We start from the raw sequence: 25,699 nt of genomic DNA, 5'->3' as shown, positions 1-25,699 counted from the left end.
TACATGCATACTTTTGATAGCACATGTGAAGAGATTTCTCTAAAACTGACCTCACTGATTTCATTTTCAGCAAGCTGACCTGGGCCACTCAACATAGCCTTTATTGTTATTGATGTTACTGCATATTCTCTTTTTACAATAACTTTGTGACCACTAGATGATATCAATTTGACATACATGGCATCAGGGCCTTCACAGTCACCATAGGTTTTTTTCCTTCCATCTATATGTTCTTATCAAATTCTACATTGCTTCACCAGGAACTTTAGTAGTTTCTTGGCAGCCCCACAGCCGCTGCAGCTGTGTCCATGTGCACTGCCACAATCACTACTCCAGGGCTGCCCCCCTACTCCCAGCTGCCTGCCCCCACGGGTTCCTGACTTTTGGTGCTTTATCCTTGATTTCTGCCACATTAAAGCCATAGGAGCCAGGGGTGGGCTTGATGCATTCAGGTGACATAGTCCGCCTTGGATGAGAAATAACAAATTCCACATTTTATTCTTTTAGCAAAGGAGCAATAATGAATTAACTTTTTAAACATTCTTTATTTAACACTCATGATCCTAAGTATGGTGGAAAACATAATAAACATTAAAGCAACATTTGCCAAATATGTCAAATCTCATCCCAAACATCAATGAGACCAAATATTTTAAATTCCTAGCAGATGGTGCATTTATTTAGAGGTTCCCATCCTTTTTAACTACAGAGATCTCTTTACAATGTCAGACAATTTAATGGATTCTCAGAAGAGTATCTGAAGTTTTAATGAAAATTCTGATGATTGAGAAAATATCTGATGAAAACCTATTATGGATTCGGCAACTCCTTTTTTGTGTGTGTTTTTTTTTGAGACAAGGTCTCGCTCTGTCACCCCGGCTGTAGTGCAGTGGCACGATCTCGGCTCACTGCAACCTCCACCTTCTGTGTTCATGTGATTCTCCTGCCTCAGCCTCCCAAGTTGCTGGGATTATAGGCGCGCACCACCATGCCCAGCTAATTTTTGTATTTTTAGTAGAGACAGGTTTCACCATGTTGGCCAGGCTGGTCTCAAACTCCTTACCTCAAGTGATCCACCTGCCCATCTCAGCCTCCCAAAGTGGTGGGATTACAGGCATGAGCCACAACGCCCGCCTCAATAACTCCTTTACATGAATTTACAAATAATTAATTACAACATTGTAGATTGTTACACTGTCCACAGAAAATCAAACCTCCTGGTTCAATTTCTTGACACATTAATTATGGACTTTACTGTGTTAGCACTGTGACCAAGGGGACATCAGTAAACTTGACACAAGCAGTGACTTGCTAAGTACTTGCACACTGGGGTTTGCCTTGGAACCTGGCTGCCGTTATGTGAGGAAGCTGATCTAGTCTTCTTGAGGATGAGCCATCAGCCCAATCACCAGCTTCTCTGCTGATTGAATGCAGCTGTGTGAATGATCCCAGACACAACCAGCAGAACCACTTAGTTGATGCAGAGAATTCTGAGAAATAAAAAATCATTGTTGTTTTAAACCATTAAGTTTTGGTGTGTTTTGTAACACAGTATAGATAACTGAAATATAATGGCATTTACGGAATTTGAAATACAGCAGTATATAAATGAATAAGTGAATACTTTTTCACTCATTCATTAATAAATATTTTTTCCAGGGCCCAGTAAAAGCACATTGTCCAGTCTACCCTAAAGGCTGGCTTTGCACAGGATCTATGGACCCTTTATAAAAATTCTGTGGCCTCAGAAAATCTGAAACCCACAAGTAGAGAAGGAAGTCCCAAATTTGAATAACATTCTATATGGAGCAATTTCTTTTCTTTCTTTCTTTTTTTTTTTTTTGTTTTTTTATATGGAGTTTCCCTCTTGTTGCCCAGGCTGGAGTGCAACAGTGCGATCTTAGCTCACCGCAACCTCCACCTCCCGGGTTCAAGCGATTCTCCTGCCTCAGCCTCCCAAGTATCTGGGATTACAGGGATGTGCCACCACGCCTGACTAATTTTGTATTTTTAGTAGAGGCAGGGTTTCTCCATGTTGGTCAGGCTGGTCTCAATCTCCCGACCTCAGATGATCTGCCCACCTTGGCCTCCCAAAGTGCTGGGATTACAGGCGTGAGCCACCGCGCCCAGCCTTATATGGAGTAATTTCAAAGTTTAGATGAAATCCAGAGAACTGTATAACAGGAAGAGAACCGTGTGTAAACTGTGGACTTCAGTTAATAATATACTAATATCTAGATTATAATTAATAATGTATCGAATTAGTTAATAACAAACTGTAATAATTTAGCTAATGTATCAGTATTGATTTGTTTATTGTAACAAATGTACTATACTAATGGGAGATGTTATTAGTGGAAACTGCTGAGGTGTCAGGGGAAGAGAGGGAGGGGAAGTCTATGGGGACTCTGTACTCTGTTCAAGTTGTCTGAAAAAATAAAACTGCTCTAAAATTAAAAACAACAACAACAACAACAACAAACTAGACCCACCTTCACCCCCCAACAACAGGTCTATGATGCAAGCCAACATATTACGTTGGTAGTTTGAGCACTGGTTCGTAAACACTGAATTGTGGTTTTGTACCTGCCTGAGCAAATCACTTTTGCTTTGCTCTACTATTTTCTGTACTGTGAGTTCTGGTCCAAGCAGTCTGTGTTAATGTGGACCTTTACAGCTTATAAAGTGCTCTTCATTTTGCAAGTTCTTTCGTGTACATTATCTCATTAAACCTTGCAACAATCTAGGGAGATTTTTTGCTCCAGGTCCCTTGGTGCAGACGTATCCATGAAGGGTCAGTGCAAATCTGTCGCCACTGCTAGACAAAGGATTTTGAACACAGATCTTTCAAGTGGTTGAATGTTTTTATAAACTTGTATTAAAGATGATGCCCTCATAATCTTCAATCTCATAAAGATGAAGAATGACATATTAATAATACAATTGAAAAGGTGATACTCATTTACACATGGAATTAATGCCTTTTCAATTCAAATTTTGGGTCAATTTCTGTTTTGTTCCCTGGAAGTTTTAATTAAGACAGAAAAACTTTAATATGTTGCACCCTTCACAATAACCATTAAAGATTTGGATTTTTCTCTTTTTGAGGCCCCTGTTCCCCCAGGGATATTTTAGCAGGAAGAATGCAATTCAAAGATTTCCAGATGTTACTTCTTAGATGTGTTTCAGCATGCATCTATAAACCTTCTGGTAGCAGCAACAGCTGGATTGGGTCCAAACATAAATGTTCATGCAGGTAAAAGGGTATTAATAGAAAAAATTGAACTGATCAGTGGTTTGTCAACTAAGTTTGTGATACTGTTTAATCATTTGTTGAAATGATCTCTCAGTAGCCAAGACAGGCTTTCAAAATTCTGCAGTCAGGCTTCCTGTATGCTTGAGGGGGTTATTCCTCACCTGTATTATATTCCAAATCTATGGCTGAGTCAGAAATTATTTGTATTTAGTCTCAGAGGATATTTAAGTGGTCTGCAGTATTCCTAACATTGCATTCACATATTAAACATGCTTGCAACTTCGTGCTCTTTCCAACCAGTGAAAGAAAGGGCTGTCCCTGAAATGTGCTGGGGAGCAGGGGTGAACACAATTAGTGGGTCTCTGGAGTGTACACCTTGATCTTTGAGCTTCTTCTGACTCAGGAAACGGCAGTAAACATAAGCGAGGGGCAAGATTCCCACCGCCTCCCCTTGTCCCTGGAATGAAAGATTATATCCCTCAGTCATCTGAATCTGGGACCTCCAACAGGGTAACATCATCTCATTAATTCAGCTCCTCTTTTTTTGGAAGTTGTGATAATTATGCCAAGAGCTGAGCTGAACTTTTCCTTGCTATAGATCAAGTTTTAATTCTGCAAATTAACAAAAATGAAGACAATTTATAGAAAGTATTAAAATTAATAACAACTTTTGCAGGAAGAATATTCAATCTGCATTTTAAAAAAGTACTTCCAAGTACCTGAAAAGTAGTTGATTTCCCAATTTAAAAATGGTAATAGCAAACATTTATTAAGTACTCACATGTTAGTTATTTTACTAATAATTTATAGAGTATCTAATTACCACAGTGAACCTATGGGTTCTCTTATTAATCCTAATTGTGTAGACAAGAAAAGTGAGCCATAGGGCATTATGATATGTGCCCAAATGAACAGATCTTGTAAATGACAGTTGAAATGGGATTTTAAATGAGGTGGATTGATCCTAGATCACAGACCCTTAAACAGTCAATTATTCAATTATAATATCACACAATTATTGTCATTAATTCATTCATTCAACAGAAGCTTCTGAAGTACTAGAGAGTCACAGTTCAATACGGCTCAGTCCCTCCTCTTAAGAAGTTTGCAGCTGGTGGATGAGACCAGCAAATAAATAAACAATGGGAAGACAGAACAATACATGCAACAATAGATAAATACATAATGTGTGCTGTGAAAGTACCAATGGGGTTGGTCAAATCAATAAAGAAGGCTTCTGAGAGAAAAATTAACTTTGGGAGGAGTCTGTGATGGTTATAAAGAGAAGAGGGGAAGGGCTTAGTAGGAATGTGCAGAAGCATGAGATAGCCATCTGGGAGCTTCCCTGGACTTTCCTATCTTATTTCCTGTGACTTTGAGTTTTATTCATTCTGTAATCTGGGGAAGAAATAGGAGGACTTTAAGCAGGAGGGCAGAGGGTACAGGTGGAGACAGGATCAGAATGTATTTTAGAAGAAAGTATTTGGAGGCTGGGTGTGGTGGCTCATGTCTGTAATCCCAGCACTTTGGGAGGCTGAGGCGGGTGGATCACTTGATATCAGAAATTTGAGACCAGCCTGGACAACATGGTGAAACCCTGACTCTACCAAAAATACAAAAATTAGTCGGGCATGGTGGTGTGTGCCTGTGTTCCCAGCTACTTAGGAGGGTGAGGTGGAAGAATCGCTAGAGCCTGGGAAGTTGAGGCTGCAGTGAGCTGTGATCATGCCACTGTGCTCCAGCATGGGTGACAGAGCAAGACCCAGTCTCCAAAAAAAGAAGAAAGCATTTGGATAGTTTTCTAATTGTTGTGAGAATCCAGGTCAGGTGTGGTGAGGGGCAGAATTAAAGTAGTGGCAGTGGATGTGGGAGGGGTGGGTAAGAAAGAGGAGGAATAAACAGGTCTTGGGACTTGCTGACTGTGGAGCAGAGAGGGTGAAGGATTGGGTGGTTCAGGAGAGATGTGTCTAGGAGGAGCCATTCATTTCTGGCTGGAGCAGTTGCATGAGTGGTAGATGCCTCTCTCTAAGACCAACCTCAAAGGAGAGTGAGGAGAAGGAGGTTTGGTGGAAAGGGGGTGCGTTCATTGTTTGGTCATGGCAATTTTCAACTTTGAATGTTGTCTTAGTCCATTTTGTGCTGCTATAACAGAATACCTGAGACTGGGTGATTTATAAAGAACAGAAATTTATTGGCTCCTAGTTTTGGAGGCTGAGAAATCCAATAGCAAGGTGTTGACAACTGGCAAAAGATGCTGCATAATTCCAAAAAAGAGAGTGATAGAGAACGTTCCTTTTATAGGAGATCCACTATCACAATAATAAACTCTCTCCCTTGATAATAGCATTAATCCGTTCATGATGGCAGAGCCCACATGGCCTAATAACCTCTTAAAGGTCCAACCTCTTAACACTGTTGCAATGGCAATTAAGTTTCAACATGCATTTGGGAGAGGACAAACTTTCAAATTCCAGTAAATAGGGCACTGAGTAAGCTAATATTTTATAAAGTGCTTAGAACAGTGCCTGCCACATAGTATATAAGTGTTTGCTGAATAAAAGTTGAGCTGTCCAGTAGACAATTAGATTCCACCCAGGGGAGAGGCCCGGAGATGGAGACATGATCAGGGGCTCATCAGCATAAAGATGGTGGTGGCCACACGGGCCTATAGAGAGGTACCCAACAGGGCTGTACTGCATAAAGAGAGCAGAGGACTGAGGACAGACCTCAAGGCTATGCTCTCTAATGAAAGCATGGCCCCAGGGACATGGGGCTTGGCAATGAAGATCAAGAAGGTGGCAGTGAAGTGAAGCCAAGGCCCCAGAGCCCAAGGAGTCCAACACATTTCAAGGCAGAGGAGATGGAGAGGGAACACACAGAGAGGTGTGAGGAGAAATAGGAAGAAGTGTTGTTTCGGAAGCAGGGCAGGAGGCGATCGTAAGCAAAAGAAATTAATTAATATTATCAAATGACTTACAGGGCCAGATAAGATACAGGCAGAAAATTGCCTGTTGGACTGAAAAGTATGGAGAGCATCAGTGAACCTAATGAGGATAGCACTGATGAAAGGGACAGCAGTAAGGAATGAATGAAAGGAGATGAAATGGACACAGATAAGTTCCTCAAAGAGTTTGAATGTGGCATAATAGAGAGTGAAGACAAGATTTGGATGCAGATGTAAGATTGAGGGAGGTTGGTTGGTTTACATTTTTAAGATAGAAGAGTCTTGAGCCTCTTCATTGGCTGAGGATTAAGACAGGAGATGGGAGACTGATTGAGCGAGGGGGCAGAAGGGGATGGGACCCAGAGTTCAGTGGAGAGATGAATATGGCTGGCAGAGGAGGACCCCGAAAGGAAGACAGATGCCAATGGACCAGTGGTGGCCTGAAGGAAGTTGCCTGTTGGACACCCCATTCAAAGTAGCTTGCTCAGGTCTTATCTCTACAACAGCAGTTCCTCATGGGATACTACTACCAATCTTTCCTTTTGGAAAATCTCTCCACTTGTTACTGTTATACAGGGATGGGCTGGTTCTCCTCCTCCCTCTCAGAATGAGTTGGTTTTACCTTCTCCTCAGTGCTTCTTTTGACCTCCCAGTTCATGGGTGTGCCCTGAAGAGTCATCCTTAGCAGTGTTCTCTATCTCAGCATTCTCTTTGGATAGTGGTATTCATGCTTTCAGAGTTACCTACCACTTCCCAGATAGCCTCTCCACCGGAATCTCCCCATATTTAGTTACTTCTTTCCAGCCTACTTTATGCTTCACTCCAAGATTGACACATTTCAAGTGTTCGTACTAGGCTTTTCCCTTGCTCAGAAATTCTTGGTGACCAAATTCAACCTATGCTTCCAAACCCACTTTCTACCACTTGGGAATTCTGCCTGTCTCAATTATCAGTGCAGGGTTCTTTGCTCCCGTCACCCCTCTTGCCTCTCACCATCCCTATCCTTAGTGCATTTTAGCATGATAAGGAATCAAAGCTATGAGAGGCAATCGGTTTACTAGGAGAGACACCAGCTTGCCTGGTAGAGGCTGCTCTTTAATGAAAGCATAGCTCCAGGGACATGGGGCTTGGCAACAAAGGTTAAGAAGGTGGCAGTGAACTTAAGCCAAGGTCCTAGAGGCCGAGGAGTCCAACATGAAGGAGGAAGACTAGAGGGGAAAGAGACCTCCCAGTAACTCTTTGAGGGAAAGGCAGCTCTACTCCAAGGTAACAGTGAAGAAATGTTTGTTCTGACTTCTGGATACCTAGTATACCCATGGTTGACAACAAGTTAGGTCTTTCTGGAAATGGACTACAAGTTTGTATTTTCCACCATGATGGGTTGTATCAGTAGGACACTCCTGCCCTCTAATTGGACTGAACAGCTCAGAGTGTCCTATACACACTCCAGGCCCCCCTCCTTCTGTGTCTCTACCCATGCTGCTCCCTTTTTCAGGCCTCTTTCACACACTGCTGTGCTCTGTCAATCCAAGCCAGCTTCAGAAGCCAGCTCAAGTGCCAGCTGATGCCAGCTGATGGATCACTGTCATAGCCCAGGGGTCGAATTTAGTATGAAAGTGAACAAAGTGTGTGGCAGTAGGCTGGGAGTGGGAGAAGTGGTCTGTTACATATTTTGAAAGATTTAACAACCAAATGCATCTTTGATTGGATCCCCATTTCTAAAAATGTTACAATATATATTCTGGAAATAATTGGGGAAGTATTAACATGAACTAGATAATAAATGATATTAAGGAACTATTAATTTGGTTACTGCATAATATTGCTGTAATTATATAAACAATGACAACTTTTAGAGATGCTTGGTGAAGTATTTGGGAATGAAGAACCAATATGTCTGTAATAGTTTAGCAAATAGATATGTGTGTGTGTGTGTACATGTGTACATATTATACATACATATATATGCATTCATGTTATAGTATGCCAGAGTGCTGATAATTGGAACTAGCTAGTAGATTCTTCATTATGCCATTCTTTTTACTTTTCTGTATGTTTAAAAATTTTTATAATAAAATTTTAAAATAAAGGAGTAAAGAAGTGACACAAGACTTCTTGGCTAGGTAGAGTCAAGAAACTAGGACTAGGATGGCCTGAGTCCTGCCATCATGCCAACAGAGTGGTTCTTGAGCTTGGGTGCAGGCCCCTCACCTGTGGCGATGCTATTTCTCTTCTTAATGGCGAGAAGAGAAAATGAAAGAGGACATCTTCATTTTTTTTCACTTCGGAAATTCATTTAATATTTGATAAAAGCTTACTCTGTTCCAAATACATCCACACATACTCACTTATTTAATTCTCACAATAATTTTGTGAAGTGATTTTTGTTCTTGCTATTCCCATTTCATAAGTGAAGACAATGAAGCCCTGAATTTCAGTGATTTTCTTTATATCACAGAACTAGTACATGGCAGAGTGAGATTCGATCCCGGTTCTGCAGACTCCAAGTCTTGGATCATCCTAAGCCCCTGCATTGTCCTTTCTGAAATTATAAAGATCAAAGCCCTCAGGCCAGAGCCGTAAGCCTGTGGAGCTGGTCCTTGACTGGATTCATGGGAAAAGCCCCTACTTGGGCCATCCCAAGCATCCTTTGGGTATGATACTTTGCAACAATAGACCATCAGACCTATCTGGAGGACCACAGTGTTTCCTTGCTTCATCACAGCATCTCCTGAAATTGAGAGTTTGCCAACCGCAATGTATAAAAATGTTTGATGAACCCCTGTCTAGCCACTGGGTCAGCATGTACCACACAGGGACTCCTCTGATTGCACCAAGGAGGAAGTGCTATCAGCGATTTCCAAAAGCAGCAAGGAAATCCATCTGCAGTTGGTAGTCAGGTTCTCATAAAAGAGTGATTTCTGAATATGAGCAGATAACAGACACCTGACCACATAAAGGGGGAAACAGACTTTTAGGCAGACGTTGAGTTGCGACGTTGGGGAATGATGACTGATTAGTGAACCACAGAGTGGGACATGCTTGGCTCCTCAACTGAAGCAAAGAGGAGCCGTGAGGCTGGAAGGTGAACCAAAGAAGGCGGGAGGCATGAAGTGTCAGGATCTATGAACATCTGGGGATGCTTAATAGAGAGGAAATGTAGACCTCCCACACGGTAGCACTTTTATGAGCTCTGATTATACACTAGGGTACAGAAAAAAATAACAGAAACTAGCACACTGGTAAATAAGAAATCTTCTTGATCTGTAAAACATGCTGCTTTCTCAAATCTTTCCCCTTCACACAACATATTTCAGAGGCAAATGATGCTGAGTGTATCAATGTGACAGGAAGGAAGCTAAGTGGGTATCTAGACATTGACATCTCCTGAAGGGCCAAGGCAGATGGCAATGCCCCAGCCAGCTTAGTGTCCTGAGGCACTAAGGGGAGTGATGGCCCCAATGTTCCTTTGGGAAATCTGCAAAAATGTAATTCTGATCTTTCAGTCTCAGAACCAGCACATGAGTTGGGAGGGCAGGGTGGGAATGGAGGGTGAAAGATGAGGGGGAGAGGGAGCAGGGCCTCAGCTTACTCATCCACTCACTCTTCATTCATTCATTCATTCATTCAGTACAATGTGAAGGTGTGTATTCTGGAGTCAGGCACAACTTCATTAAGATCTAAGGCCTACAGCTTGAGAGCTCTATGAACTTGGGCAAGTTACTTAGTCTGTTTAGACCTCAGTTTCCTCCTGTGATAAAAGGAAGTCCCTGACTCATAGAAGTATAATGAGGACTAAAATTCACCGCCTAGTAACATAATAACACCACTGGGTCTGGCAGGTAATGGGTGACCAACCAACATATGCTACAATTGTTGCTGTGTCTTTCAATAACCAGGTGACCAGCTCTGTGCTAGTTGCTCAGTGCATGAAGACGGTGGACTTGGAGACACAATTTTACCCTCCACTTGTGGAATGACACCTTGCCAAACTTTTTTTCCAGGCCTATATTTTTCTTCCCTTCTATTTTTCTTCCCACTTTCCCATATACAGAAAAGTTCATGAATGAAACAGAGAAAAGAAGACCTATGGTCAGAGAAGAGATGAGAAAATAGAAAACTTCTAGCATTCTATTTGTACCTGGCACACAGTAGGCACTTGATGATTGAATAAATAATGTGCTCCCAGGGACCAAATTTTCAGGAGAATGAACACTTTTACCTAATTTTCTTGGTGTTTTCATTAAAATGAAGTCACTCATTTGGAATTCAGGGGTTGTAGACTGATGGCTAATGGATCAGTTCTGGCCTAGCAACATGTTTTGTTTGATCTGCAAAGTATTTTAAAAATGGGAAAATGTCACATAAAAACCCATGTTTCTGGCTTCTACTGGAAAATGAGAAAATCTGGCAACCCTGGGCCTGCATTCCCCCACAGGAATGGTCAGAGGGATTGAGGGAAAGGCTGCCCGCATTCCATGGGACTTTCCCTCCCTATGGCCTTGGGCACCACTGCCCTCTAGTGTATTACAGCCTCCTGTGGCTAGGGCACTTCCTCCTGCGTATGTATTCCAAGCAAGGCAGTTTCACTGGGTTGTTTTGGTCATCTTGTGAGGGATCGCAGGTGAGGAATGTGGAGCAGGGAGGCCTCCTGGCACAGCCCTTTCTCAGCCCCACACTCACTCCCAGCCCTGTGCTCCTTCCCGGGGGCCTCTCTGCTTGGGCTTTGAGCCTGGATGACTGACTGAGATTTCACTTTCCATCCAGATATGTTGGCCCCATGTCAACACCGCTGACACCACCCTTCCTTTATGATTACTCCCCTTCTGGGCAACAAGAAAATGATTGAATGACAATTATTGTGGCATCTGATACAGGGGTAATTTCCCTCTGGTTAGCAAACCACATGATGGAACATAACTGCAGATTCTTCGCATACCTTCACCATGACTGAGAGTGATCCCACAGCCACGGCTTTACTGATTCTGAGATCAGAGCATTCAAAGCGAAGACAGAGGGTGCATCACCCTCCCGTAGTGCTGTGGCCTTCAAGCTTGCCCTGTCTTTTTGTTATCAATGATCAGTAGTACACTTTTATTTATTTTTTTCTTAAATGAACTCCAAAGAGACCTGATGAAACTAGAGCTTACCTTGGTCCTATATCCTCGGATCCCAGGAGGCCCAGAGAGCCCAGAGAGCCCAGATGGAAAAACAGTTGCCTCGTCTCTTTTACAAAAGGGGGCCTGAAGAGGGAACGAGACTTCTCCAGGCTCACGGAGGGAGTGAGGGGCACGGGGCACTCAGAGCGGTCTCATTCCAGGTCTGACGCCTTTCGCCTGTGCCTGCTGTCCTGAGTGATAGTCCCAGAGTAGCACCAACAGCCGGACCTCTGGCCTGTGGCTCCTGTGGAGCAGATACAGGCTTCACTTTGCAACATTTGAGCCAGGTCCCTGTTTGGCTGAGTGACAGCACTTTGGCAACCATCACTCTGAATTTCTGGTTTCTGGGTCTGTCAAGCCTGCTTTCTGCTGTCTCCACGGGGCAAGCAGCCTCCTCAATGGCTCCCGGGGATCCTGCCGCCTTTGCATTCCCCTCCAACACTGTCCCAGGGTTGGTCTGTGTCCTCACACGGCAGAGAGAGGAAACAAGCTCTCTTGGGGAGATATTACTTCCACTCAAGCGGGCTGTGCCCTCATGACTTCATCTTATCCTAATCACCTCCCAGAGACCCTGCCTCCTGCTATCGTCACATTAAGGGGCAGGGTTTCAAAATGTGAATTTGGGGGGACACAAGCATTCAGACCATAACAGGCATCCTTAGGAAAAATTCGAAATACAAGCAAAAATTTAAATGTTTGTCTTCCTACAGCTAAAATATGATTCTGAGGACATTAAGGGAAAGTTGGAATTAATCTGTGTTGTTTACAAACATCAGAATTAACCAAACCATTGTGTGTATAAAATACCTGCCTCCCACCACACATACACATAACGTTTATCAGGGGTTTTTTTTTTTTTTTCCTTTTTAAAGAGCTGCATATGGAACCAAAGATAATTTGTTAAAATTGAGATACAATTCATATATCAGAAAATCACCATTTTATTTTATTTTAATTAATTTATTTTTGAGACAGAGTTTTGCCCTTGTTGCCCAGGCTGGAGTGCAATGGCACGATCTTGGCTCACTGCAACCTCTGCCTCCTGTGTTCAAGCAATTCTCCTGCCTCAGCCTCCCAAGTAGCTGGGATTACAGGCACCCGCCACCATGCCTGGCTAATTTTTTAATATATATATTTTTAGTAGAGACAGGGTTTCACCATGTTGGCCAGGCTGGTTTCAAACTCCTGACCTCAAGTGATCCGCCCACCTCACCCTCCCAAAGTGTTGGGATTCCAGGCGTAAGCCACCATGCCTGGCTGAAAATCACCATTTTAAAGTATCCACTTCAGTGATTTCTAGTGTCCTCATTATGTTGTGCAACCAACACTACTATCTACTTCTACAACGTTTTTATCATTCCAAACAGAAACCTCACCCTTGTGCCTCCTTCCCACCATTCCCTGGCAATCGCTACTCTACTTTCTGTCTCTGTGGATTTCCCTATTCTAGACATTTCATGTAAATGGAATCATACAATATGTGGCCATTATGTCTGGCCTCTTTCACTTAGCATAATGCTTTCAAGGTCCATTTGTGTCTTAGCATGTATCAGTACTTCATTCCTTTTTATTGCTGAATATTTCATTGTATGGACCGACCACATTTTGTTTATCCATGCATCATTACTGGACATTTGGGCTGTTTACATTTTTGTCTATTTTGAATAATGCTGCTATGAATATTTGTGTACACATTTTTGTGTGAACATATATTTTCAGCTGTCTTGGGTATATATCTAGGAGTGAAATTGCTGGGTCATAGGGTAATTCTAGATTTAACTTTTTGAGGAACCACCAAACTGTCTTCCATAGTGGCTATAACATTTTACATTCAAGATGAATATTGTTAATCTAGCAAACAGTTTAACAACTGGACAAAAATGAAACATTAAACCATGCATAAAATTGCGACCTAGAAAAATTTACATCATATATTCAAGTCTCTACTTTTGACTTTTCATCATTTACTATGTGGCTTAGCATTGCAGACTTAGGTCTAACAGTTGTAGTTGAGCTTACTAGTTGTATCCTGATAACCATTTTTCCCTTTTTAGTAATCAATTTCTTAATTTTAAGCTGGTCACTTCACTGCCCAAAACAAAGGTAACATTTTTTAGCTTCCCATGCAGCTAGTATGGCCATTGACTAAGTTATGGCAAATGACATGCAAGTAGAAGTTTGGTATGTATCGTCTAAAAAACGCCCCCAAAGGAAGGAAACATGCCCTTTCTCCTCATCCTTACTCCTGCTGGCTGGAATGCAGATGGAATTGCTGAGCTCAGGCTGCCACTCTGGACCCAGTGGTGGAAACATTGTGCTAAGGAGGACAAAGCAAGAACACTGCAGATGCCTGAACCCCTAATAGAATTCACTAGCCACAACTTGACTACCTCTGGACTTCTTCATGTGAGTGGAAAATAAATTTGTATCTAATTTAAACTTTTATTATTTGGAGTTTCTGGTTATACAGCTAAACTTAATCCTGAATGACCAAATTCTTAAGGAGTAGTGGTTAAAAGTACAGTTATTTGGAGACTAACAGACCTGAATTCAGATCCTTGAAAGTAACTGGGTATGGTGGTATGTTCCTGTAGTCCCAGTTACGCAGGAGGCTGAGGCAGGAGGATCTCTTGAGACCAAGCGTTCAAGGCCAGCCTGGGTGACATAACAAGACCCCCATCTCTAAAAAATAAAAATAAAAACAAGTCCTTGAAAGCCTTCCCTTTCCTTCTACTCCCATTCAATCACAGTCCTATGGTTTCATCTTCTTACTCCCTCTCAAGTTTTTCATTTTTTCCATTTTCACCACTACCCCCAAACCACTACTATGTTCTTCTGGGCTTTTAAAATAGCTGGCTGTGTGGTCACTCATCTCCAATCTTGCCTCTCTTCAATGTGTTCTCCACACAGCACTCAGTGTGATCTTCTTAAACTATGATCTGGTTCCTATCACTTCGCTTAGAACTCACCAGTGGCTTTCCATTGATCTAAGGATAAAGACCAAAGTTCTCAAAGGCCTCGCAAGGCTGCCCGTTTTCTCTTTGGGCTTGTCTGGCTTTAGGCCCCTACCCTTCTGTCCATTCCAGCCTCACTGGCCTTCCTTCAGCTCCTTTAATAGGTTGTGCTGTGTCCTACCACACGCTTCGCACAGACTAGCCCCTTGGCTGAGATTCTCTTGCATATTCTGTACCCTCCTGATCTAGTTAACTCCTGGCCACACTATAGACCTCCTAAGAGAAGCCTTCCTTGAGCATCCTGGTTTGTGTCTGTCTCCTCCCTGCACAGGTCTGTGCAGAATTCTGCTCACTATTGTATCCAGCACTGGTCTGGCATACAGCAGGTGCTCAAAGAATGTTTGTTAAATAAATCAATATATGACACCCGCCATGTCTAGTTGTATGAACTTGGCACTTAATGTCTCCGTTCCTCAGTTTCATCATCTGAAAATGGATGCGATGACAGTGTCTACCTCCCAGGGTTCTTGTGAATATTAAGTGAGAAGATGCTGGTGAAGTGTGCTTAATAAATGTTAGCCATCATCATCACTGTCACCATCACTAAGGGTTCTCACTAACCAGGTGTGAGCAAGATGGTTGAACAGAGAGTAAGAGCACCATTTGAAAAGACAAGGAGACTTTCTTCTCCTGATCTCTCAGGGTTACAGGGGATAAAACCATGGCCCCCTGCACATGCCACAGGGAGGCAGAGGAGGCACGTGACTGACACACATGTTTATGTACCTGTAACTGATATGAGATTCTTATCAGCCATAAAGGCCCCATAAGAAGGGTAGATATTAGAGAGACAATAAAATCTAACGGGGAAAAGTCAATTAAGTTCATTCAGGATTAAGTTCAGCTGAGTGTAACTGTTTTCTGTTGTCAGAAAAACCTGAATTCAGACATAAGCTCTGTCAACCCTAGAAAGTCATATATATCCCCCTGAACATCAGCTTTCTCATGTGTGAAATGAGGAGGATAATATAACTTACCTGATAGCACTGTGTTGAGGATTAAATGTGAGAATGCTCCACTGCCTTGTGTATAACAGATGCTCATAAACAGCAGCCAGTGCTAGCTACTGGCGAAGACCCCAAGCACTGTCCTATTTGATGAGCTTGCTCCTTTCCGGGGTGATGAGGTCAGGGTGGTGGGCTGGGGTGCTGGCAGGCAGTGTTCAGGGGCAGCAGCAAAGGCTCTGTCTTGAGCAACACCTCAAACCTAGGCAAGCCAGGTGAGGACAAGCCACGTGAGGTCTCTGGGCCCTGATGTCCCTGGGACCCGGGCCAGGGCCTGTGCTGAGAAGGAGAAGGAGAGTCTGTTGGTAAAGGTGGCCATGCAGGTGCTCATCCCACAGGTGGCTGGCCTCTGCCTCGCTGAGCAGTACTCATCCCTGTGTTTGAGGCCTGTTCACAGGGCCATTTCTTGTCACCTCCCCTAATTAAGTTTCATTCAGTCCCAACACTCATTATTTTCCTCCATCCCCCCACTCCCGCTTCCTGATCTTACCAGAACCAGCAATAAATTCCAACAAAGCTGCCCCTCTTCTTTCTAGGTCCTGTTCCTGTAGGAAGGAGGGAGAAGACAGATGATGAGGAACAAATCTAATAGAGATTCACAGACCTATTCTGTTAGTGGGGACAAGACAGGAAGACCCCCTCGCTCCCTCCACTGAAGATTTTCACAGAGCCTGAAGCATCCTCCTGACCTGGCAAGCAGCCCTGCTGATGCGATTTGCATGTTAAAAAATTATTAAGAATTTCGAGATGGTGATAGCAGAGCATTGAACCAAACGCAGGGCCCTTCTAAGCATAAGACCCCGTGGCAGCTTGCAGGTCATGCCAAGGAAGCTGGTCTTGCCCTGCAAATCTATATTAGTGCAGCTGTCAAGTGAGGCTGCCAGAGAGCTTCCCTGGGAGCGGGAACATCCCCTGAGCTGTGCTAATGATTGGAATGGCAGTGGAAGGAGTGAAGGTGGAGGGTACTCATGGGCAAAACTCCTTGGAAGGCAAAGCCTACGTGTCTGCATGCCCATTTGCCTGAAGGGCCCAGGACTGAGCCCTCATGTGTGCCACCTTCCCGTGTGGGTGGCATGTCCTCATGGGCATCCCCATTTATTATGGTGGGGTGGGAAGAACACAGGCTCTGCTGCTTAGCAGCTAGGTGAGACTACATCGCCCATGGGGATTCCCTTTCCTGGCTGGTTTTTTGTAGTCTGTTATTTTCCTTTATCCCAGCTGAAATCTTTTTTCTCCATCTACTTCAAGAAGGAGGACTCTGAACATTCCACAGTTACAGAGGGCAAGCCAAACACAAGGCACATTCTGTACTGCAGACAGAGGATGGGGCACCTGATGGTAGGTGATATGGTTTGGCTGTGTCCACACCCAAATCTCAGCTTGAATTGTATCTCCCAGAATTACCACGTATTGTGGGAGAGACCCGTGGGGAGGTAATTGAATCATGGGAGCTGGTCTTTCCCATGCTATTCTCCTATAGTGAATAAGTCTCAGGAGGTCTGATGGGTTTAACAGGGGTTTCCACTTTTGCTTCTTCCTCATTTTCTCTTGCTGCCGCCATGTAAGAAGTGCCTTTAACCTCCCGCCATGATTCTGAGGCCTCCCCAACCATGTGGAACTGTAAGTCCAATTAAACCTCTTTTTCTTCCCAGTCTCAGGTATCCCTTTATCAGCAGCATGGAAACTGACTAATACAGCAGATTTAGGAATGCTACCTCCCACTCACTCATATGCTCCCTCCCCTCACAAACACAGAGATCACACACACACACACACACACACACACACTCTCTCACTCTCTCTCTCTCATGGTTTTGACTTACCCAACTCTTCTCTGGAGACAAATCACAAGACCATTTAAAAAGGGAAAGTCAGAAGATGGTATGGAGTATAAAATCTTCCTTTCTGGGACAGCTCTCTTCCCGTCTTCCCCCACCAAGTCTTTGTAAAATTCTACCACCACTCCCAAAAAGAAAACTAAAAAAATGAAACCAAGCAGCCAAAAGTTCCAGACTTTCTCACTCACGGGCTCCAAACCTTGGGGTGGCTGGCTGGGGCCTCTTTGAAGGAATGTACATCTAACTCCTCCATCTGGGGATTGGCCCTAAAACGGAACTTGTGTTTAAGCTGAGGGATTAAAATCTTTCCGAAATACCTGGAGAGATCTGACGATGTAGGGGCTGCATCCATGTGGAATATTCACAAGACATTACTTCACATGGATCACAACAATTTTCAAGTTATAACCAAAACCAAACACCCAATCGTTAGTCACAGTATAATAGTAAAGAAAACAGAAGAAGGCCTGCTAGCTGCCCAGACAAAGATCTCATTCAACTTTCTGATCACACATGTTGAAATCTTCATCCTCTCGTAACTCTTGAAATTGCCTCAGCACGTTATGGGGCCAGGGATCACTCCCTCTGGACGCTTACACAAATAGCCAAGTTCCTTAGGTGAGGGTCATCATTGGGTTTGCTTCCTACCAGATGGTTTCCAACCGCCTGGATGTCATCCCTCCCACCTCCTCGCCTGCAGCTGAAGTGACCACTCTCGCAGCCAATTCCACTTTGTCTCTTATAAGCCTCACCCTTGGCAACTCTCCTAAGAAAAGTGAAACTTGACAATGGAGTTTAAATTAAAAATAATTAGCAATAAAAAATCAAGTTAGGAGGCACATAGAAAGTGCTTGATAAGTACTTGAATGAATGGATGAATTTACCCCATTAATTAAATACTTAAATTTACCCCATTAATAAGAAAAAAAAAAACCCTATATTGCAAGGTTTTTTGAAATTTGTTCCTTGGAACACCAGCTCCAGAATCAGCCGGTAGGTTTGGTAACACTACAGATTTCTGGGTCCTTCCCCAGACCCACTCAATTAGAGCCCTTGAGGGACATGACTTGCTAACAAACTGCTCACAAACTCCTCAGGGAATGTCTTGGTTAGCAAAGTTTGCACAGCAGTGACCCACAGGCACTGTAGCCTCATGAATTCTGAGAAAAGACTGTCAGTCAAGGAGTTCTGCCATCATGATTAATGTCAAGTGGTTCATTTCCTTGAATAGTGGTCTGGGGAAATATTAATAGATACTCACTTTAGTTTGTGGGCTGGTTAAATCAAAAAAAGAAAGCCTAGAAGAGCCAAAGGACTCATAAAAGCAAGTGAATGAAATACGCAACTTCGCTTTTTCAGTAAGAGAGAACTCAGTGACTGCTAGTACCCAGAGGAAAACAGATGATGTTTAACAACACGTTAAGATGGTGCCTGGTTAGTGGTAATTTCACAGAGGACTCCTGGTTTTACTTCTTCTAGACAGCAGGCAGAGAGCAGGGGTGGGGGAACTTGCTTACAAGAAAGGATATAAAATCACTCATTTTACCTCAGTGTGAATTTAAAACGCTTAGTCCTCAAGGGTGTTTTCACCTTAATCCTTATCTATAATTGTGAATAGAAGTTAGTCCCTGCTTGAAAAGATGTAGACATCACTGGTGTTAACCTTAAATAATGAGATTCAAAGAATATGATTGGGGCCAGGTGTGGTGGCTCATACCTCTAATACCAGCACTTTGAGAGGCTGAGGTAAGAGGACTGATCAAATCCAAGAGTTCAAAACAAACCTGGGCAACATAGTGAGACCCCCTCTCTACAGAAAAATTTAAAAATTAGCTGAGTGTGGTGGCAGGCACCTGTAGTCCCAGCTACTCAAGAGGCTGAGGTGGGAGGATTACTTGAGCTTGAGAAGTCAAGGCTGAAGTGAGCTGTGATTATACCACTGCACTCCAGCCTGGGCAACAGAGTGAGATCCCATTTGGAAAAAAATATATGATTCAGAATGGAGTTTTTTCTAGTGCAAAGCTTTAGGATGGTCACTTGGAAACACCAACTCCAAATGAATGGGGTCAGCAGTCATTTGGAGTACAGAAGTGGAGAAGTTAAGGTTTCACTTATGTAGGCAGACAGAGAAGTTCCAGCAAGATTGCATTTTCCATATAAGACCAGTGCATACACCACAGCAATTTGATTGGTTGCAGATTGCTACATTCCAAGGAAGATTACCTTATTACTCCATGAGGAGGGGCAGTGATATGAAGGGGTCTTATCTCTGGTGCCACTTGTTCTTCCTAATTATTTACAGATATGAAAGGCAGAAATTGTAGCTACTGAGTACATGATTCAGGCTGCATAGCCACATTCCTCCCAAGGCTCAGAATAATGAAAAGTTCTAACAGCTTTATATTTGAATTATTTTAAGTTTGAATTATTTAATTTCTAACTGAGTAGGATGAGCAAGCATTTTGAGATGCAAAGGGACAGATTGTTCCTTGTGGCCCAGAGACTAGTGAAAAATAGAAAAGACCTATCACAGCACTTATCATACAGTACAGTTGAAGGAGAATATTCTACTTCCCCTCAAGATACACTTCTTTGACATATTTTGAAATGTCCGTTCATGTTACTGGTGGCAAATATCTGAGTCTCATGGCAGGTATCTGACTTACCGGTGGCGAATCCATATGGGTCTGCAGCAACCTCAACTCTTGCCTCCTCAGAAGAGAGAATTCGACTGAGGGGAATAGCCAGAAAAAGAGACAAAGGCAAGTTTCAGAGGAGGAGTGGAAGTTTATTTAAAAAGACCTTAGAACAGGAAAGAAAGAAAAATACACTTGGAAGAGACCCAACGAGGCATCGAGGTCAAGAGTGGTGTTTAACCTTGATCCCAGGACTTTATAGGCTGGCCGACCTCCTGCTTCTCACGTCCCCCTTTCCCATGATTCTTCCCTTAGGGTGGGCTGCCTGCATGTGGAGTGCCCTCCTTATGCTTGGGAAGTGAGCACACGCAGTGTATTCAGGAGGTTGTACACAGGCACATCTCAGGTCTTCTTCTCTTTTCTGGTGGACTGCCCCCGGAAGGTCATGCTCTGCCATTTTGTCTCCTAATCTACGTGTCTAGACTCATTCACCCAATACCTGAGATTTTATTGGAAGTTATTTTTGCTTCTCCCTGGTGCCTGCTGCCAAATTATCATCTGTAGAGAAGCAATGTGCTAATCGTTGAATCATCACCTGACATTCCTGGTGGGTTGAGGAGAGCCCTCTCCTGCCCAGCTCATGCCTGTCTAACTACCTGTAACATTCAGAGGGTCTGCAAACAGAAGCAGCTCTGTAAAACTGTGTGTTGAGGCGGTGATTTGCATCTGTAGAGAATCTACATTGATGCAGCCAGGCTTTGTCAGATCTAGGAAAGATTGGCCAAGAGTCTGACACCTTTAAAAGCCTAAAATAAACATTTACCATCTATTCTTTCTGAGGGCTGAGGCCTGTGAGGTTTCATCCACAGAACAAGATCACCTTTGCTAGCCAGGCCTCCTCTTCTCCCCCTCCTGTAATTAGTTTTGCCATGATCCAGACACCTATTAGTTCTGTAACCTCGACATGGCATAAGTGGGTCAATCATTTGCCTTTTTAAGAGATCTTATTTTGTAAGACGCCTATAGCATGTTAATAGAATGTGTGCTTTTTCTTGTATTAGTCTACTTTTTGTCAGTTGATTTTCAGTGAACTTTCAGAGGATGAAGGGGACTTGGCCCTTACACAGTATTATAATAATCTGTTTATTTGTCTGATGTCCCATCTTTGGTATAGCCCTTAAATGCAGAGATCATGCTTTATTTATCTCTATTTATGTTTAGTATCTATAGAATTGGCATATAATAGGCACTCATTAAATATTTGTTGAGTGGATGAATAGAGCAGTGATTAAAAGAATGGAGAGGGGTAGGGGGATAAGCCAACCAGACCATGACTAAAGTGTTAATAATCTAATCACCTTGAACTTAATCAAACGCTTAATGGAGGGTTACCAAGAAGCAATAACTCTTGGAGGTGTGAATAGGAGAGATGTGTTCATAAAAAGCAGTGAGTCCTTTCTATACCTGCAGGCCTTTAAAGACAATATGGCAGCTCTTAATTTTGCACATAAAATATATGGAATAATCATTTGAAATAGTGATTTTACTGTAATATAAAAACCATTTGATGTATTTTTAATGAATAGAAATGAAATTCTAGGCAGGGCGTGTTGGCTCATGCCTATAACCCCAGCACTTTGGGAGGCTGAGGCAGGATGATTGCTTGAGTCCAAGAGTTCGAGACCAGCTTGGGCAACACAATGAGATACTGTCTCTACAGAAAGAAAAAAATAAAAGAAGAAAAAATTCTAAACCATTAATTATGCTGTGTGGTGAATTGGCTATTGTTCAAAATGGCCAAAAGAGTAGCTTCTTCTCTTCTCCTGAACATATTGTACAACCCCTTTTCCCTGGCCATAGTTGCTTGTCCAGAGATAGGCATGAACAAAGCATAATGAAACAGGAAATTTTCCTTGATCCCTTCTCAAGCCTTGTGACAGGGGTGCCTCACTTACTCAGCCCGCAGCTTTCAACCCCTCGTGGGAGGGGGAGCATGCAGGTGAGCAGGTGCAGAAGCTGGAGTGAGTGCTTTTGGGTACTGGAAGGAGCAAAACTCCGTGTAGCCTGATGGCGGTGTCTACGGGACTACCTGTTACCCCTGAAGCACCAGAGGGAGTGTGTTACAGTGCTCTTTTAGCTTTGCTGTCTGCAGACAGCTTCAGTGTTTAATAGCTCAGTGGACCCTCTGCCTTTTCATGAGGGCAGATGGTTAGTGTGACAGTTTTCTGTATCCCAAGCTCTTGTCTGGTGTCCAGGAAAAACCAGGTTGCACAAATTCAAGGATAGTAAATGTGGGGGATTTTATTGCTGATGGAAGTGGCTCTCAGTGAGAGGGGGAGCTGGAAAGGGGATGGAGTAGGAAGAAGGCATTCTTCCCCTGATGTCCCAATGTCAAGTTGTCCCTCTGAAGTGAAGCTGCTTCTCTCTTATGTCAAACCAGAGTCTTCAATGTCCAGCTGCTTCTCCTCTTCTCCCCTTCTCTGCTGTCTGCCAGTGGAGCCTGGGGTTTTTATGGGTACAGGATTAGGGGTGGGGTGGTTTTGGAAAAGGCAACATTCAAGCAGGAAAATGGATGTAAAGTTCTCACTTTGGTCTGCGGTTCCAGGCCTGTGGGTGGGGTCCTGGCCAGGGACCCTGCCCTTTTCTGCCTAGAATTTTTCTGTCTCCTGTTCTCATCACTAAGATGGACCAATGGGAGCATCTTCCAGAAATTACTTTGTGAGCCTCAGATCTCTGGGTGTAGAGATGTCAGCCTATAGGATGACTGTATCACAGTGCAAAATAAATGGATGCCAACTTGCAAAGGAGCTTGATGGGCAACCCTGGGGCCCTTCTGTGGCAGACCAGGTCTCAAAAAGGCTGAACAGGCAGGACTCCTTAACAACTGTTTCAGCACTGACTGAATGGTTAGGTTAAATATTAAAGGCTGAGAGAGCCAGAGTCTTTACATAGAGGCTGGAATGAGTAATAAAGGCCCACCAAGAGTCTCGCTCAGGCTGACATGGGCCTTGAAGCATGACAAGATAAGAAAGGAATTCTTACCAGGACCTGTTTAGGATTAAACAAATTTTACTGGGGGTCTGAAGAAACTCCCCAGACCTCCACAAACAAATTTTATTAAGAACTCCCCAAACCTCCATGATTTAGCAGGAGACAAGATAAGGGTAATCACTCCCGGCACCTGGACCCATCTAGATTAAATTTACTGAGGCTCTGGAAGAGGATCTTCAGGACTCAGACCTTAGTTATAGATTAGAAAAAGTTACTCACTTATGTCTTTAGATGAATGCACACTTACACGTAGACTTAGAAGGTACATGAGCTTTGGAAAACTTTGTAATTTTGAGCTGGTCTGGCAATATTTTCCTGGCCTTCTCCCTGAAGCTGGTTGCAGAAATAAACTCTCTTCTTTCCCAGTTCATCTGCATCTCATTATTGGGCCATGAGAATAAGCAGCCTGACCCTTGGTTACGTCCAGGAACACTTCCTGCAGGCAGATGAAACCTCTGTCTGACGAACAAGTTTGAATAGGTTCTGCAACCAGAAGAATCCTGATATACTCAGCTAGATGCCCCAATTTCAGGTGAGGTTAGTTCTATTCTTGCTATGAAGGATGACTTTATTGCATTTACATGTATTATCATTGTCCTCATGCATTCATTAGCATCCAGCTGTTAAAACAAGTAGCTCCCCCTGTAATTAAACTTCTTTTGGAACCAAACACAAATGGCTTATTTTCAAAATTCAGGTTTGTTTTGAAAAATACAGTTTTATTTTTTGTCATTGCAATATTTTATTTTGACAGTTCAGGAATTCAGTTTGAAACTTTCAAATGACTATCTGCATTAATATATTTCCTAGGCTATGTTAATCAAATTGTGGTCTCTGTTTTTTACGTATCTTTTGTCCTCTAGGACCCTTTACAGCTGGCTGCCTTAGCTTAACTACTTTACAAAGGATATCTTTCCTTTTCTGTAAACCAAATAAATACAGAGACTGCACTGAGCTGCTGCCCTCCTTTCATGAATTTCTTAAATCTGTGCCACATATTTCTGTTTCATTTCTGCCAAAAAGACTGGAGAAAACCAGAAGTAGTGAAACAAATAATATCTATGTAAAGAACATGATTTTTTTTGTTTGCATGCAAAAGTAGTATTTACCATCAATTATCAAAACTATCAAGAAAGTTAATTCAATCATAGGCCAAATAAAGAAACATTTTCTGTAATAAGAAAGGTGATTGATAGTTCTCTAGATTTCATTTATCAGCCCAATCTAGATTGTTATCATATGCAATTCAGGATGTCATACCTGAAGAGTGATATTCACAAAATGATCAAGGTCTAGTGTCTAGGAGGCTGACGATCTGAAGTGTGTGACATTTTCAAGAATGGTGAGAATACTAAGGCTGAGCCAGAAAAGAAAATAAACTGTGAGAACATTGAAGGAGCACAGAAAACTTCATTCTAAAATATGACCCCCTGGTGTAATGAGTGTTTTAAATGAAAGACCTTTAGAAATCAACAGATTCTGGAGGAGATTTTTCCCCTATCTACATAAAAACTGAAGGGACCCACCAAAGAGAACACTGTTTTTCCTTCCTCTTCAGGTTTTCTCATTATCTGTCACAGAAAAGAAGACCAAGAAGGTAATCACGCCTGAACAGGTGCATTCACAAGATAATGTCCCTCTCTCAGGCTCAATTTCCAAAGAGAAACATTTACAAGTTAATCTCTGTTGCTAGACCCATTCATTCTCCCTAGTAATCATTTATTGCCTTTAAACAGAATTATCTTTATTCCCCATCTTCCCCCTTTACTCTGAAATAAGGCTAAATAAGTATTTGAGCCTCACTGGGATATTGGGCAATTATTCTGTGACTCTCCCCTGCGTGCACATTAATAAATTTGTATGTCTTTTCTCCAATTAATCTGCCTTATTTCGGTTGATTTTTTGGCAGACCTTCAGAGGGTGAAGTGGAAGTTTTTGTTTGGCCCTGACAACATGATTAAGAAGGTCCTGTCAGACTGAAGAGAGTAACTACTATTAAGAGTCTTATAGAAGAGATTCATGCATAGCATAAAGATTTAGACTTCTAGAACGTCTTCGATTCATGTTTCTGCTATAATGTTACAACAAAGGTTTCCCAATCTGGACCCCCAAGAGAGGATTCTTGGACTTTGCTCAAGAAAGAATTCGAGGCAAGTCCACAGAGTAAAGTGAAAGCAACTTTACTAAGAATGTAAAGGAATAAAAGAATGGCTACTCCATAGGCAGAACAGCAGCTTGGGCTTCTTGGCTGATAATACTTATAGTTATTTCTTGATTATATACTAAACAAGGGGAGGATTATTTATGAGTTTTCTGGGAAAAAGCTGAGCAATTCCCAGAACTGAGAGTTCCTCCCCTTCTTAGACCATATAGGTTAACTTCCTGACATTGCCATCGCAGCACTGTGGAAGTGTTTTTTAACATGCTAATGCATTACAGTTAACATATAATGAGCAGGGAGGACGACCAGAGGTCACTTTCCTTGTCCTCTTGATTTGGTGGGTTTTGGCTGTCTTCTTTACCACAACCTATTTTATCAGCAAGGTCTTTGTGACTTGTATCTGGTGCTGACCTCCTATCATCCTATAACTTACAATGCTTCGCCTCCTGGGAATGCAGCCCAGCAGGTCTCAGCCTCATTTTACCTAGCAACTAGTCAAGATGGAGTTGCTCTGGTTCAAACGCCTCTGACATTTACAAAAGGGCAGCTTTTCAGAGCTACCACTGTGTCTGCAGTTTCTCAAAATAACCTGCTCAAAATATACAAAAGAAATATTTTTTGAGGTGGTATACTCTG

The 25,699-nt window shown here is 42.7% G+C and overlaps 1 long non-coding RNA gene and 1 pseudogene across 1 annotated transcript, besides 1 other annotated feature; both read right to left on the bottom strand.

Annotated features, from left to right (window-relative positions):
• ELOCP20 (elongin C pseudogene 20) lies at positions 1-377 on the bottom strand (annotated as a pseudogene).
• Positions 10,360-11,247: an enhancer, noted in NCBI's record as "H3K27ac-H3K4me1 hESC enhancer chr1:116088427-116089314 (GRCh37/hg19 assembly coordinates)". NCBI's record gives its function as "activates a minimal SCP1, AML or CMV promoter by ChIP-STARR-seq in primed H9 embryonic stem cells {active_cell/tissue: H9 hESC(primed)}" and the evidence as "EXISTENCE:reporter gene assay evidence [ECO:0000049][PMID:30033119]".
• LOC124904375 (uncharacterized) lies at positions 22,135-23,655 on the bottom strand. The gene is made up of 2 exons (XR_007066492.1): positions 23,150-23,655; positions 22,135-22,351 (listed from the first exon to the last, which is right to left on the bottom strand). It is a non-coding gene; the product is annotated as an uncharacterized LOC124904375 (long non-coding RNA).
• Positions 23,656-25,699: the final 2,044 nt, after the last annotated feature.

This window comes from Homo sapiens, chromosome 1 (assembly GCF_000001405.40).
Source record: "Homo sapiens chromosome 1, GRCh38.p14 Primary Assembly".
In the NCBI taxonomy this organism is placed as follows: Eukaryota; Metazoa; Chordata; class Mammalia; order Primates; family Hominidae; genus Homo; species Homo sapiens.
Note: the sequence above shows the minus strand (reverse complement) of the source record. Positions and strands in the feature narration are given on the sequence as shown.